The sequence below is a fragment of the Homo sapiens genome, chromosome X (genome assembly GCF_000001405.40).
Source record: "Homo sapiens chromosome X, GRCh38.p14 Primary Assembly".
Taxonomy (NCBI): Eukaryota; Metazoa; Chordata; class Mammalia; order Primates; family Hominidae; genus Homo; species Homo sapiens.
The window spans coordinates 133,570,941-133,584,162 of record NC_000023.11 but is presented as its reverse complement, the minus strand read 5'-3'; the positions used below and the strand labels follow the sequence as shown (position 1 = coordinate 133,584,162).

Below are 13,222 nucleotides of genomic sequence, written 5' to 3'. Positions count from 1 at the left end.
GCTTCACCTTCATTGCATCTTAAACTAGCTTCCTCAAAGTATCCTCAACTTTTAGCAGCCGTATTTGTGAGCAAAGAGATCTGAGATTCCTGTTCCAGTCAACACAGGAGTAAGGACTCAGCTGAGTGGGGGAAGGCACGGCATGTGAAACATAGGGTGTTTGTAGCCTCCTGTGCATCTTGAGAAGAGACAGACAGATGGGGAAGATTCTGCACACAGGGACAGTGGGAGGATGGTGAAAAGAAGTAACAGTGTTCAGTCTACATGAGAGAAGGATTAGGAAGATATGAATGTTGTCTTCTAATAGTAAGAAGTCTTGCATATGGAAGAGGAGAGTAGATCTGGAGCCAATGCATGACATTTACAAGGAGACATATTTTGGCTAACAGAAAGATGAACTATCTCTTTGAGCTATTCCTCAATTGAATGGATTGCCCTGAGAAACAATCAGCTTCCTGACTTTGAAGGTATTTGACTAGAGAATAAATAAGCATATCAGGCCAAGTGCAGTGGCTCACATGTGTAGTCCCACCACTTTGGGAGGCCGAGGCAGGCAGATCACTTGAGGCCAGGAGTTTGAGACCAGCCTGGCTAACATGGCAACATCCCGTCTCTACTAAAAATACAAAAATTAGCCAGGCATGGTGGCACACACCTGTAAACCCAGCTACTCAGGAGGCTGAGGTGGGAGAATTGCTTGAACCCAGGAGGTGGAGGTTGTAGTGAGCTGAGATCGCACCACTTCATTCCAGCCTGGGCAACCAAGTGAGACTGCATCTCAAAAAAATAAAAATAATAAAAAAAGAGAGTAAGAAATATTGGCTGGATGGGGCTTAGGTGTCAGAGAGTGGATAGATACCTACATCATGATGGACTTTTGACTTCCAGGGTCCTGAATAGCTCTGAGGGGCTAAATTTTTATGATGTAAACATGTAAATAGAACAAAAGAGAATCAATATGGTGGAGCAAACCAATGAGGCCATTTTTCAGGCTGGGGGAAAGAAAGAGGAGTGGAGAAGAGAATCTCTGTGGTTGTTTGTCTATGAGCACATGTCACCAATTATGATTTTCTGCAACTATTTTCCTAAGAAAACGGATCCTTACGAATGGCAGAGACTTTTCCAGGGAGCAATTCTTTTCAACATCTTCTGTCATTCACAGCCTCCAGATTTGTTTTGCCACTACAAGAATCCAGTTCTCATTTCTCCCCAATTATCTCCAGGCTTGTGGCCGTCCTGCCCCATGTTAGAAAAGCAAACCCAGGACAGAGCCCTCCCCCCGGCTACAAGCAGTTAGTGCTGATTGCTGTATTGTCAATATTAAGGTTGTCCAGTTCACACTCATCCCCTGCACCACTCTCTCCCTTCTGATTCTGCCCACACAGAATAGACCAGTGCATCTCAAGTTATCTATGATGAAGGACCCAGAGTTTGTTTGTTTGTTTGTTTCATTCCTCCCAAATCTGTCATGGACCAATATCTTTGTAGACAATAAAACTAAATTACCAGAAAAAGAAAATGACCAAAAAAAACCCTATAAAATACAAGCCACACGTTTTAATTATGAGATTCAACAGACCTAAAAATCTCTGTCAGATTGCTATAAAAGTTTCAAAGTGCTTATTTTCAATGTCTGTACTTATCTTCTTGCAGATTAGCAATAAATAGCAGAGCAGTAGCCCACACATTGAGTAGGGAGGTGTAGCCTGCTCTGTGTGTCTCTGCCTTGTATTCCTCCTCACCTTGGATCTCATGGTGGGAAACACTCAAAAGCAGTCTAAATAGAGTGAGGGCAGTGGTGTACTAGAGCTGGCTTGCACTGGCTCACGAGAGCCAATTGTTAAATTTTCAGAATTCCTGTGAGTCAGTTGTTAAACATGGCCATTACAAAAAATTAAATTATATAAATTTACAATGAAATAAATTCTACCAAACAAAAATAACACTGAAGACTCATCACATCCTAATTATTTTATTGCATTTTATAATTATCTCTACTCTTAGGGTCATATGTCTATTGTGTGTGTATGTGTGGTGGAAATAATATATACTCTTGCAATTCTGTGTTCAGTGTGGTCACATTGGTAGCTTAAAGCTGGCCAGGATAGAAATACTTACACCACAGAAATCAGGAAGAAACTACAAATCAGGGCTTGATTTATTGTTTTGTTGATTGTCTAGACTCTAGACTTAAGAAAGTGATAGGAGAAAATGTTAATAGCACAGAATAAACTTAAAATCATGTTGTCTCTGTAGCCATTACATTGTGAATAGCACAAAAAAATTGAAGAAATATTCTTCCAGTATTTGAAAACTATTATCCAATTCAGTAAAGAAGTTGCTCCTATCACTGATGGAGTGAAGTTCTGACTCCATTGGAGTGGAACACTAATAATAATAGTGTTATTTCACTTTTGTGTCACCTCTTAGTGTATTCCAATATATCAACCAGTATTCATGTAGGAACTACACTTGCTCATCGATCATAACTCTAGTTTGGCTCCAGTTGCAAGAGCTTGAACAAAAGTCAATGAAAGCATTCTGTGAGAACTAATTGGCTAAATAAAATTTATAATGAAGAGTATTTTATATTTTTATCTGTAAATTGTAAGGTGCTGCACATCCTTTATTCCAATAAAATTAAAAATAAGCTGACATGCATACTTCCTTTTTTTGAGAGCCAGTTGTTAAATATTTACCAGCTCACCACTGGGTAAGACAATATATTTAGAGGATTTATTTTCCTTTGTTTATCCTTAAAGTTTCTAAGTTTAAATCAATAGCTCTTGCTACCATGAGTGAGAGAAAATTTCTGTCTTCCAAAGTTATGCTGGCAAATTAAAGAGCCCCTCATTTTCAGTGATACTGACTTCTAGGAATCCCAAACTTGGAAACTTTCTTAACTTGGATCTGTAAGATCCATAAACTTTTTTCCTCAAAACTTCTTATTCCCTGTTGAGGTTCGGGGGCTCCCTCTGAAATCCCTCTGCTAACCGATGGAAATCTCATCAGTCCCATCCCAAACCTCAATGGTATTCCTGCAGGTCAATTCACTGGAGCACCCAGGTGAGGACCACTTTTAGAGTTCAGCCTCGCTGTAGAAGATGGCATTAAGACAAATGTATACCGTGTGCCGGTATTAGCCTTGGCTTCATAGAGTTCGAGTGGAACTCCTAATATCAGGTTACATTTTGTTGGCTCAGTAATCATTTTTTGAACCACCGACCATATGGGCAGAGGTTGGGAGGAAAGCTAAATTTGGAACACACTCCCACTCTCCTGTTCAACATTTCTTTCTTGTTTGTGCAGGGAGGCAACATTATTACTCATACTCACATACAGTACCAACTGCTAGAGGACTAAGAAGTGAGATTCTCCCAAAATGTGGTCGGATCACTGGAGATTTTCTATACAAATATGCAGCAGTTCAGTAAGAACATCTGTGCTCTGCTTCTGCAGATGTCAGAACCTGTCTGTGACACATAGCACTAGAAGACTAAATTGATAATGAAAAGGAACCCAGGGATTTCATGCCTGTGGGTTCATAAATTCTTTATCATTTTTAGTCCACATGCAGAGATAGCACCTTTCTGAACTGATATCTTTTTGATTCAGGCATTTTTAGAGCATGGAGCCATGAATGTCTCTCCATTTAGTTTTTCTTGTTCTAGCTTTCCTTCTCCCCACACACCACTTCATATGGAATGATAGTTGGAACAAAGAAGATGGATATTTTGGGAGAACAACAATAATGATTTGGGCAGTATCTGAGGAAATCATGCACATTTCTTTCAGCTCTGGGGCTTTCTAAACCTAAATACACAAGTTGTATTTAGCCTAAAGCAGCTAAAGGTCAGTGCCTCCAAGGGGTTTAGAAACATGTTCAACTTAAGGAATGAAAGTTAGTCTGCCTTCCTTCGAGGAGAGGTTGTAGTCTTCTCACCAATAGCCAGCTTGGAGTCATAAGGGCATTCTCCTTGCTGTCCCTAAATTCTAGGCATAAATGAGGAGTAGTGAAACCAAATCCCTTAGCTCAGCCTTTCCTAATCTGGCCCCAACCTACATCTCCAATCTTTTCTCTCACTAACCCCTACTCCATCCTATGCTCCAACTACCTTAAAGTTTTCACTGTTGCCAAACTTGCTATTCTGTTCCTTCAGGCGTGCCTGGGCCTTTGTAAAGTCTTGTATCTGTAATATACATAAAGCACTTAGCCCAGTGCCCATGCCTTGGTAGGTTCCCATAAATAGTGGCTGTTAATATTCTGCACATGCTGACCTGTTAACCCGTACTTGTTTCCCCTTTTGTACCTTTAAAACTCAGTTCAGGCTGGGCGTCGTGGCTTGCTTCTGTAATCCTGGCACTGTGGGAGGGCGAGGTGGGAGGATCACTTGAGCCCAGGAGTTTGAGACCAGCCTGGGCAACATGGTGAAACCCTGTCTCTACAAAAAATTAGCTGGGTGTGGTAGTGTGAGCCTGTAGTCCCAGCTACTCCAGAGGTCAAGGTGAGAGGATCGCTTGAGCCCAGGAGGTTAAGGGTGCAGTGAGCTATGATTGTGCCACTGCACTCCAGCCAGCCTGGACAACAGGGTGAGAATGTCTCAAAAAAATAAAAATAAAAATGAAAAATTCAGTTCAGATGCATCTCCTTCCTCAGTGACACCTAGCCCTAGGCAGAGTGCTCCGTCAATATGCTTCAAGCATTTACCAACATGATGGTCAGGTAATTCCCAGTGCCTGGGACCTAATTGGTGCTCAGTAAGTGTTTGTTGCATGGCCCTGGCCATACAAAAATGAATAAGCAAAGTACCTGCCCATAGAAGTTCCTAGTGTAGTTGGGGGTCTTGGGGGGTGGTGGGCAATGGGAAGGGCACAGACACCTAACTGGATCATTGTAATGTAAAGCGGTTAAAGCACTGATTGCAGTATGTACAGGGAGTTGTGGAAACACAAAGGTAAAGCTTCACACCCAGCCTTGGGTCGTCAGAAACTGAGCTGAGTCTGAAACAATGTGTAGGGGTCAGGTGGAAAGGGAAGAAAATTGTAGGCTGGCAGGATAGTATGAGCAATGACTTGGAGATGAGAAAGAGCACGGTGGTTCTGAAAATGACATGCACTTTGGTGTGACTAGAGTACAGAGAAGCAAGAGGTGAGGCTGGAAGATTTGTTAGGGGTCACATCATGAGGGCCTTCTCTGCCTTGTTAAGGAGCTTGGTCTTGATCCTGTAGCAGGGTCTATAAATTCACAACATATGGGCCATTAGCCTCCCCAACCCCCATCCCTCTCCATAGCAGACATTCATAATCACAGCACCCCACTCCACTGAGCCCAGATGTGACATCCTAATCCTTCTGAACATAGCACTACAGGGAAACACCACCAAAAGATTGAAGGCTTGAAGGCAGCATTCTGGTTTGCTGCCTTCAAACCTTTGGTTTGGTTTGGTGTTTTGTTCTGTTTTGTTTTGTTTTGTTTTTTGTTTTGAGACAGGGTCTCCCTCTGTCACCTAGGCTGGAGTGCAGTGGCACAATCACGGCTCACTTCAGCCTCAAACTCTGGTGCTCAAGCAATTCTCTCACCTCAGCCTCCTGAGTAGCTGGGACTACAGGCATGTGCCTGGTTAATTTTTTTTATTTGTAGAGATGAGATTTTGCCATGTTGCCCAGGCTGGTCTTAAACTCCTGGGCTCAAACGATCCACCCACCTCAGTCTCCCAAAGTGCTGGGATTACAGGCATGAGCCACCATGCCCAGCCAGAGAAAGGTTGTAAGCATGTTGGGAGTTTGAGGGCGGCAAGTGAGTGCAAGTGAAGGGAGAAGGCTGACATGGTCAGAATTGCATTTTGGAAAACTCTCTGGGGGAGTGGATGAAGATGCAGATTTAAGAAGAAGAATCAGCAAGACCTGTCTATTTAGATGTGGCAGAGTGAGGGAGAAAGAGTTGTTGAGGATGAGGTCACTGTTTCCACCTTGGGCAAATGGGCAGATGCCAGTGCCATTCAGAGAGAAAGCATGGAGGAGGTAATGATAGGGTTGGCACAATAATAATAGCTCATATTTTTTGAGTGCTTACTATGTGCCCGGCACAGTTTTAAGCATTTTGTGTGGATAAACTCATTATATCCTCCCAGCAACGCTGTGGTGTGGGTACCATTATTATTTGTTTTGTAGAAGAAGAAGAAGATACACAGAGGGGTATAGAATACTGAAGAGCTAACACAATCAAGGGCACTAAGGGAGAGTGTTAGAATGATAAAAGCTGAAAACCCACACCTGAGTCATTTGGAGGACTATGGATAGAGCCAGCCAGGTCACTAGGCACCCATGCTAGGGTTTATCAGTTCATCTTTAATGTTTTGGAAACCAAAGGATTTATCGTTCTTGGAAGAAGCCCGATGTGTATAAATCCTTCCTGCCCTTACCACATCTGTTCTACTCACAGGGGCAAACATCAGTAGGAATAGGAATTAAAACAAGCCTGTCCAAATGATGACCTAAATGATTTCCAAATGCATCTTCAAATATAAAATACATCCAGCATTCTTAAAATTAAAAGGGAGATAGTTTGAGGGGTGGCTAGTTTCCCAGACTCCCCCAGAGCACCTCATTTGATGAATGCTGTAATAAAAACACTTCCACCCACTCCACCCTGAATATTAAAAGGGCAAGGTTAGGAAGGGTATTGAATTTTAAGAGAATACATCACATTAGATTGTGCTGTTTTTTCTAACGATTAACCCTTTCTTGTTTTAATAATTAGACTATATACATCTATGGGTATGTATGTGTATGTAAATGTATATATTTATGCAATTTGTTTAATAACTTCATGCTTTGCAAAGCGCTTTCTCATGCCGTGTTTATTTGAGTATTATAGGAGCTTAATTACTTTAAGGAACAGGCTATTTCAATGACTAATAGACGTGTTGCCATTTTCATCTTAGCTTCATGTCTGACTCTCTTGCTATCTGGGCTGTGTCAGTATTGCAGTGTGAGCACTACCAAGAGTCAGGTACTTTAGCCAGGAGGGGATGAATGTCCATGCCCCATGGCCTGAACATGTAGCTCAACGTTAGAGTCAAGGTGAGCTGAGGACTGAACAGCTGAGGTTTTCAGACCTGTCCGCCATATTTGCTGTTAACCCTGAACTCAGATCATGAGACCATGGATTTGCTAATTATCCCATAGTGTCCTCTGGAACAGCTATAAATAAACTACAAATGTGCAATTTTTGCCTGAACATGCCATTCCCATAAACATGTCTTTACCCCAACTCAGGCCATTACATCTGCTTGTGATGTCTTCAATTCTTCTGTCCTGAAGCCTGCCAATACTTCAAGACCCTCCTCCTCCACAAAACATATTCTTGATGGCTTCAGCTATCCATGACATCTCGTTCTCTTCTGAAGCCCTTATCTCCACCATTCTATACATAACAATAACAATAACCAACTAGCAGATTGTTATTTACTAATAACTTTGAAATTCATCATCTGATTAAATCTTCATTACAACCCTGTAAGGTAGACTTTAATATTAGCTCTTAGAGAGGAGAAAACTGAGTTTCAGAGAGTTAAATTAAATAACTTGCCCAAAGTCAATTGATATTAAGAGCTAGGATTGGGCTGGGCACAGCAGCTCATGCCTGTAATTTCAGAACTTTGGGAGGCTGAGGCGGGTGGATCACTTGAGGTCAGGAGCTCGAGACCAGCCTGGCCAACATGGTGAAACCCCGTCTCTGCTAAAAATACAAAAATTAAGTGTGGTGACACACGCCTGTAATCCCAGCTACTCAGGAGGATGAGGCACGAGAATCACTTGAACCCAGGAGGAGGAGGTTGCAGTGAGCCAATATCGCAGCACTGCACTCCAGCCTAGGTGACACAGTGAGACTCCATCTCAGGAAAAAACAAACAAACAAACAAACAAAAAAACAGAGCTAGGATTGGAGCCCAGATCTTTCTGATGTCAAATTCATTTCCCTCTCCACCATGCTGTATGACCCAGCACACATAGCTGAAAAGTATTTGTTGATGATGATGACAACAATCCTCTTGTGTTAGTAAATAGCCTCTGACTTTTTCCATGGAGTTGATGCTCAGAATCAGAATAGCCTGAGCAAGAAGAGTTCTGCGCCTCTGTAGCCTTTTAGGGTTAAGTGCTATAGAGAGGAGCTGAAAGTACATTGCTCCACTCAGTTGGGTGGGACTAGTCTGGATTCCCAGAAGATTTTTCTCCCTCTCTTTATATACATTTCCCCATATCTCTCCCATGAATCATAGTTCTTCTGGGTGCCTGAGCCTGGACCCGAAAAGGAGGGATTGAAGAGCATGTGGTATTCAAGTAAGTCACTATATGTGCTTAGGAGATCTAGGTCTACTCCTCTGTGCTGTACTTGAGAGCTATAATTATTGATCCACAGTACATTCTTGTGCCCCATGACCATCCGGCCTCAGTATATCCTAGACTATCATTTGCTGGGGCAGCAGTTGGTTTGGACAGCTTATTCTGAAGGTAGCTTTGGAAACTTGCATAATCTTGGTACTGAGAGACTGAGCAAGCAGCCAGGCTAGAGGCCCCATGTGCTGTTCTTCGGTCCAGTGCCCCAGCTAAAATAACACATTTAGAATTATTCAGTATCCCTTCCGCTCATCCCTAAATTTGAAAATGCATACTCATGAGGAAGCCTGGCTTTTAGTAGGTCTTTGGTATGTTAGAGAATTGCATGTTATGGGAAGTCAAAATGAATGTTGGAGTGAATCTCATTCTGGCTGTAATAATAATCTTCACATAGTAGCAGTATTGTAGCCAATGAGGTTTATCCACACATGATTATTGCTGATTAAAATAATGATAATAATAATAGTCAGAAACATAATAGCACTTACTGCTAATTGTTTTCTCTATGCTGACGTTGGTCTAAGTGAGTGTTACCACAGTTAATCTCTACAAGGCCCTATGGAACATTGGTAATATAACTCCCATTTTATAGATAAGGGATATAAAGCTCAGAGAGATTAAGTAAAAAGATTAAGTAAATGGTTTAAGGTCACACAACTAATAAATGGTCCAGCCAAAATTCAAACCCATGCCTTTTTGGCTCCAAAGGCCATGAAATATTAATAGTAGCCTCTGCTCTACCACTTCCCTTTCTGCTGCTTCTTGGTACTCCTGTCTATGCCTTGTAAGCCTTCAGTCAGCACCCAGCTGAGACCCACAGGAAGTGCTTCAGCCAATGTTGAGGTCAGCTAAAGAGTAGTGACCAGCATGCAGCAGAAAGGGACCCAAACTGTTCATTCTAACCATGCCATTGTGCTCCGCTGGCCAACCCTTAAGCCTCATTACATTTCATTCTCCCAGCAAAGACAGTAAAGATAAGAATGCAGATGGAGTGTGTGGGATGCGATATGACTAAATTCATTTGGTCTTCTGGAACTTTTGTAAAAATATAAACAGATCTGATCTAGTTAAATACTCCTCTTCTCCTTAGGCCCAGACATAATCACATAATTCACAGTCAGCTTTGCTGGCAAGACAAAGATTGGAGATGTTCCATAAAGAAGATATCAGTTTGAAAAACCTACAACCTTAGCTGAAAAATATAATTTTGTTCATAAAGATGTCTAGTAGGAAATAACCAGAAAGACTGAAATAACTTTGAACCAGTCGTTATCTTTGGTCAATATCATGTGGCCAATGAGAATTTATAATCTCCCCTTTATATAGAATGTTGCTTATATTAATATGGCTTTCTATAAAATATCATTTTAAATGTGGGTTGGTGAACTGGTCTCTCTCTCTCTCTCTTTTTTTCTCAATAGCTTCATTGGGATATAATTCACATAACCATACAATTCAACCATTTTTAAATGTAGAATTCAGTGGTTTTTAGTACATTCACAGAATTGTGCAGTGATTACCACAATCAATTTTAGAACATGTTCACCACCCCCAGAAAAACCTTTTACCCCTCAGCCACCACTCTCCAACCCTCCTAACCCCCTCAACTCTAGATAAGCACTAATCTACTTTCTGTCTCTTTGGGTTTGCCTATTCTTGAAATTTCATATAAATGGAATCATACTATATGTAGTCCTTTGTGACTTCTTTCACTTAGCATAACATTTTCAAGATGGACCCATGTTGAAATATGTATCAGTAGTTCATTGTGGGGTTTTGCTTAATAACATTCCATTGTATGGCTGTATTATTTTACTTAACTATTCATCAGTTGATGGAAATGTGTTTTCTTCCCACTTTTTGGCTATTATAGATAAGGCTACTTGTTTATAGCCAAAAAGTGGGAACAAAGAGTAGGAACAAAACAAGCAGCCTTATTTATCATAGCTAAAAGGTGGGAACAAAACACATTTCCATCCACATTTATTTAATTCTTGTTTAATTTCCTTTAACAATGTTTTGTATTATTCAGAGTATAGGTTTTCTACTTTTTTGTTAAACTTATTCCTATGTATTTTATTCTTTTTGATACTGTTGTAAGTGGAATCACTTTTCTAATTTAATTTTCAGAGTTTATTGCAAGTCTATATATATTTGATTTTTGTATACAATTGATTTTTGTATACTGATCTTCTATCCTACTACCTCAATGGATTCATTTATTAGTTCTAATAGACTTTGTGATTTCTTTAGGTTTTTCTACATGCAGGATCATGTTGTCTTCAAATAAAGACAGTTCTACTTCTTCCTTTCCAATCTGGATGCCTTTGATTTGTTTTGCTGGCCTGCTTACACTGGCTAGAACCTTCAGTACCATGTTGAACAGAATAGGCAAGAACTGATATCTTTGTCTTGCTCATGATCTTAAAGGGAATGCTTTCATTCACTCACTCTTAAGTAAATTATTAATAGCTCTGAGGTTTTTATAGATGCCCTGTATTGGGCTGAGGGAGTTTCCTTCTATTTCTAGTTTAAGTGTTTTCATCATGAAAGGATGCTGAATTTTGTCAAATGCTTTTTCTATTTCTATCAAGATAATCATGTAGGATTTTTTTTTCTTTATTCTATTAATATGGTATATACATTGTTCACATTTTGTATGTTAAACCAACCTTGCATTCCTGGGATAAATCCCGCTTGGTCATGATACATAACCTTTTCAACCTGTTGCTGGATTTGCTTTGTTCATATTTTGTTGAGAACGTTTGTGTTTATATTTATAATATATATTGGTCTGTAGTTTTCTTTTCTTGTGATATCTCTGCCTAGCTTTGGTATCACAGTAATGCTGGCCCCATCAAGTAAGTAAAAAGTATTTCTTCCTCTTCTATTTCAGGAAGAGTTGTGAATGATTGTTGTTGATTCTTCTTTCAGCATTTGATGGACTGAAGCCATCTGGGCCTGGGCTTTGTATATTCAGATTTCCTATTTCTTCTTAAGTCAGTTTTGGTAGTTCATGTAATTCTAGGAAATTTGTCTATTTCATCCAGGTTATCTAATTTTTGGTTTACAGTTATTTATAATATTCCCTTATAATCCTTCTTTATTTCTTTACAGTTAGTTGTAATGTCCCTTTTTTATCTCTGTTTTTAGTAATTTAGGTCTTCTTGTAATTTCATTTTTTTCTTATGCAGTCTTGCTATAGGTTGGTCAATTTTGTAGATCTTTTCAAATAACAAACTTTTAGTTTTGTTGATTTTCCCTGCTGTTTTTCTGTTCTCTATTTTATTATCTTTACCTCTAATCCTTATTATTTTCTTCCTTCTGGTTGTTTTGGGTTTAGTTTGCTTGAGTTATTGATTTGAAATCTTCCTTCTTGTTTAATGTAGGTGATCATAGCCATAAATTTTCCTCTGAGGACTACTTCCCTGCATTCCAAAAGCCTTGGTATGTTGTATGTTCATTTTCACTTATATCAAAGTATTTTCTAATTTTCCTTGTGATTTCTTCTTTGACTGATATTTATGTAGGATTGTATTCTGTAATTTCCACATATTAGTGAACTTCTCAAATAGTTTTCTTTATTGATGTCTAATTTCCCTCCATTGTGACTGAAGAATAGACTCGACATGATTTCCATCATTTTTAATTTATTGAGGCTTGTTTTATGGCTTAGTTTAAGGTCTATATTGGGGAATGTTCCATGTGCACTTGAGAAGAATGTGTATTCTGCTATAAACCGGTTAATTTTATCTACAGGATTAATATGAAGCTATAATAAAGTACTTTTTCAGCTTATATTTCATATTTTAAAACAAGATTCAGTCAATAATCCCTTCCCCCATGTCCTTCAGAAAAGAACATGTGATTCATAATCACCATTCAGATCTCAGGATTAAGAACAGAACTACAGAAAGTCCTCCTCTTGACATTCCAATTCCACTGTCCTTTAGAACCATAGAGGCAGCACTTAATTATCCACAAGGAGATTTTTTATTTTGTGGCTTATCTGAAGTGACCTATAGTTTTCAATCTTTCTGCCACCCCTCCCAAGCTCAGGCCACTGATGTAAGCCAGCACGGATGAGGGGCATTTAAATATCAGAACAGGGTGGTTTGTTAGACTGTCACTGAAGCCATAGGGACCGGATATGTTAAATACAAAAAGCCCATCTGACTAGTGTTCTAAGCCTCTTTGGTAACCTAATCAGATTAGCTATTAGAAAATGGCTATCAGGCTGGGCGTGGTGGTGGGTGCCTGTAGTCCCAGCTACTCAGGAGGCTGAGGCAGGAGAATGGCGTGAACCCCAGAGGCGGAGCTTGCAGTGAGCCGAGATCGCGCCACTGCACTCCAGCCTGGGCGACAGAGCGAGAATCCATCTCAAAAAAAAAAGAAAATGGCTATCAGGACACCCCAAAAAAAGTAGCCAACCTAAATGCGCAGAGCACAATGGCTGAGTGTGAGTGGTTGGCTGAAGTAAATGTGATGCTTAACTGTATGTTGGTATCATTTATGCCATTTTTGAAAGCTGGCCATGCCTCAAAAAATACATTCTGGAACTAATTTCCTATTTTAAATGGTGTTCAATATTGCCTTTTGTCAGAGAAACCGTTCTCACTTGTAGATTTATAAGGTAATACAAATAAACATCAAAGAAATAAAAATATTATGATCAACCAAGATGTGAGTTTAAAGACAAAAAGAAAAATTTTGATCTCTTTTTATGCTTCTAAATTCTCATGATACTTATGCCATACACATATGTATAAGTTTATAAAGCTGTGCGATAATAAAATCACAGACTTTCACAGTAGGTAGGTTT

The 13,222-nt window shown here is 39.8% G+C and overlaps 1 protein-coding gene across 4 annotated transcripts in view, besides 1 other annotated feature; it reads left to right on the top strand.

Annotated features, from left to right (window-relative positions):
• The window catches only part of GPC3 (glypican 3), a 449,850-nt gene that overhangs the window by 401,432 nt on the left and 35,196 nt on the right, over window positions 1-13,222 (top strand). The window lies entirely within an intron of this gene.
• Window positions 4,728-5,229: an enhancer, noted in NCBI's record as "NANOG hESC enhancer chrX:132712962-132713463 (GRCh37/hg19 assembly coordinates)". NCBI's record gives its function as "activates a minimal SCP1, AML or CMV promoter by ChIP-STARR-seq in primed H9 embryonic stem cells {active_cell/tissue: H9 hESC(primed)}" and the evidence as "EXISTENCE:reporter gene assay evidence [ECO:0000049][PMID:30033119]".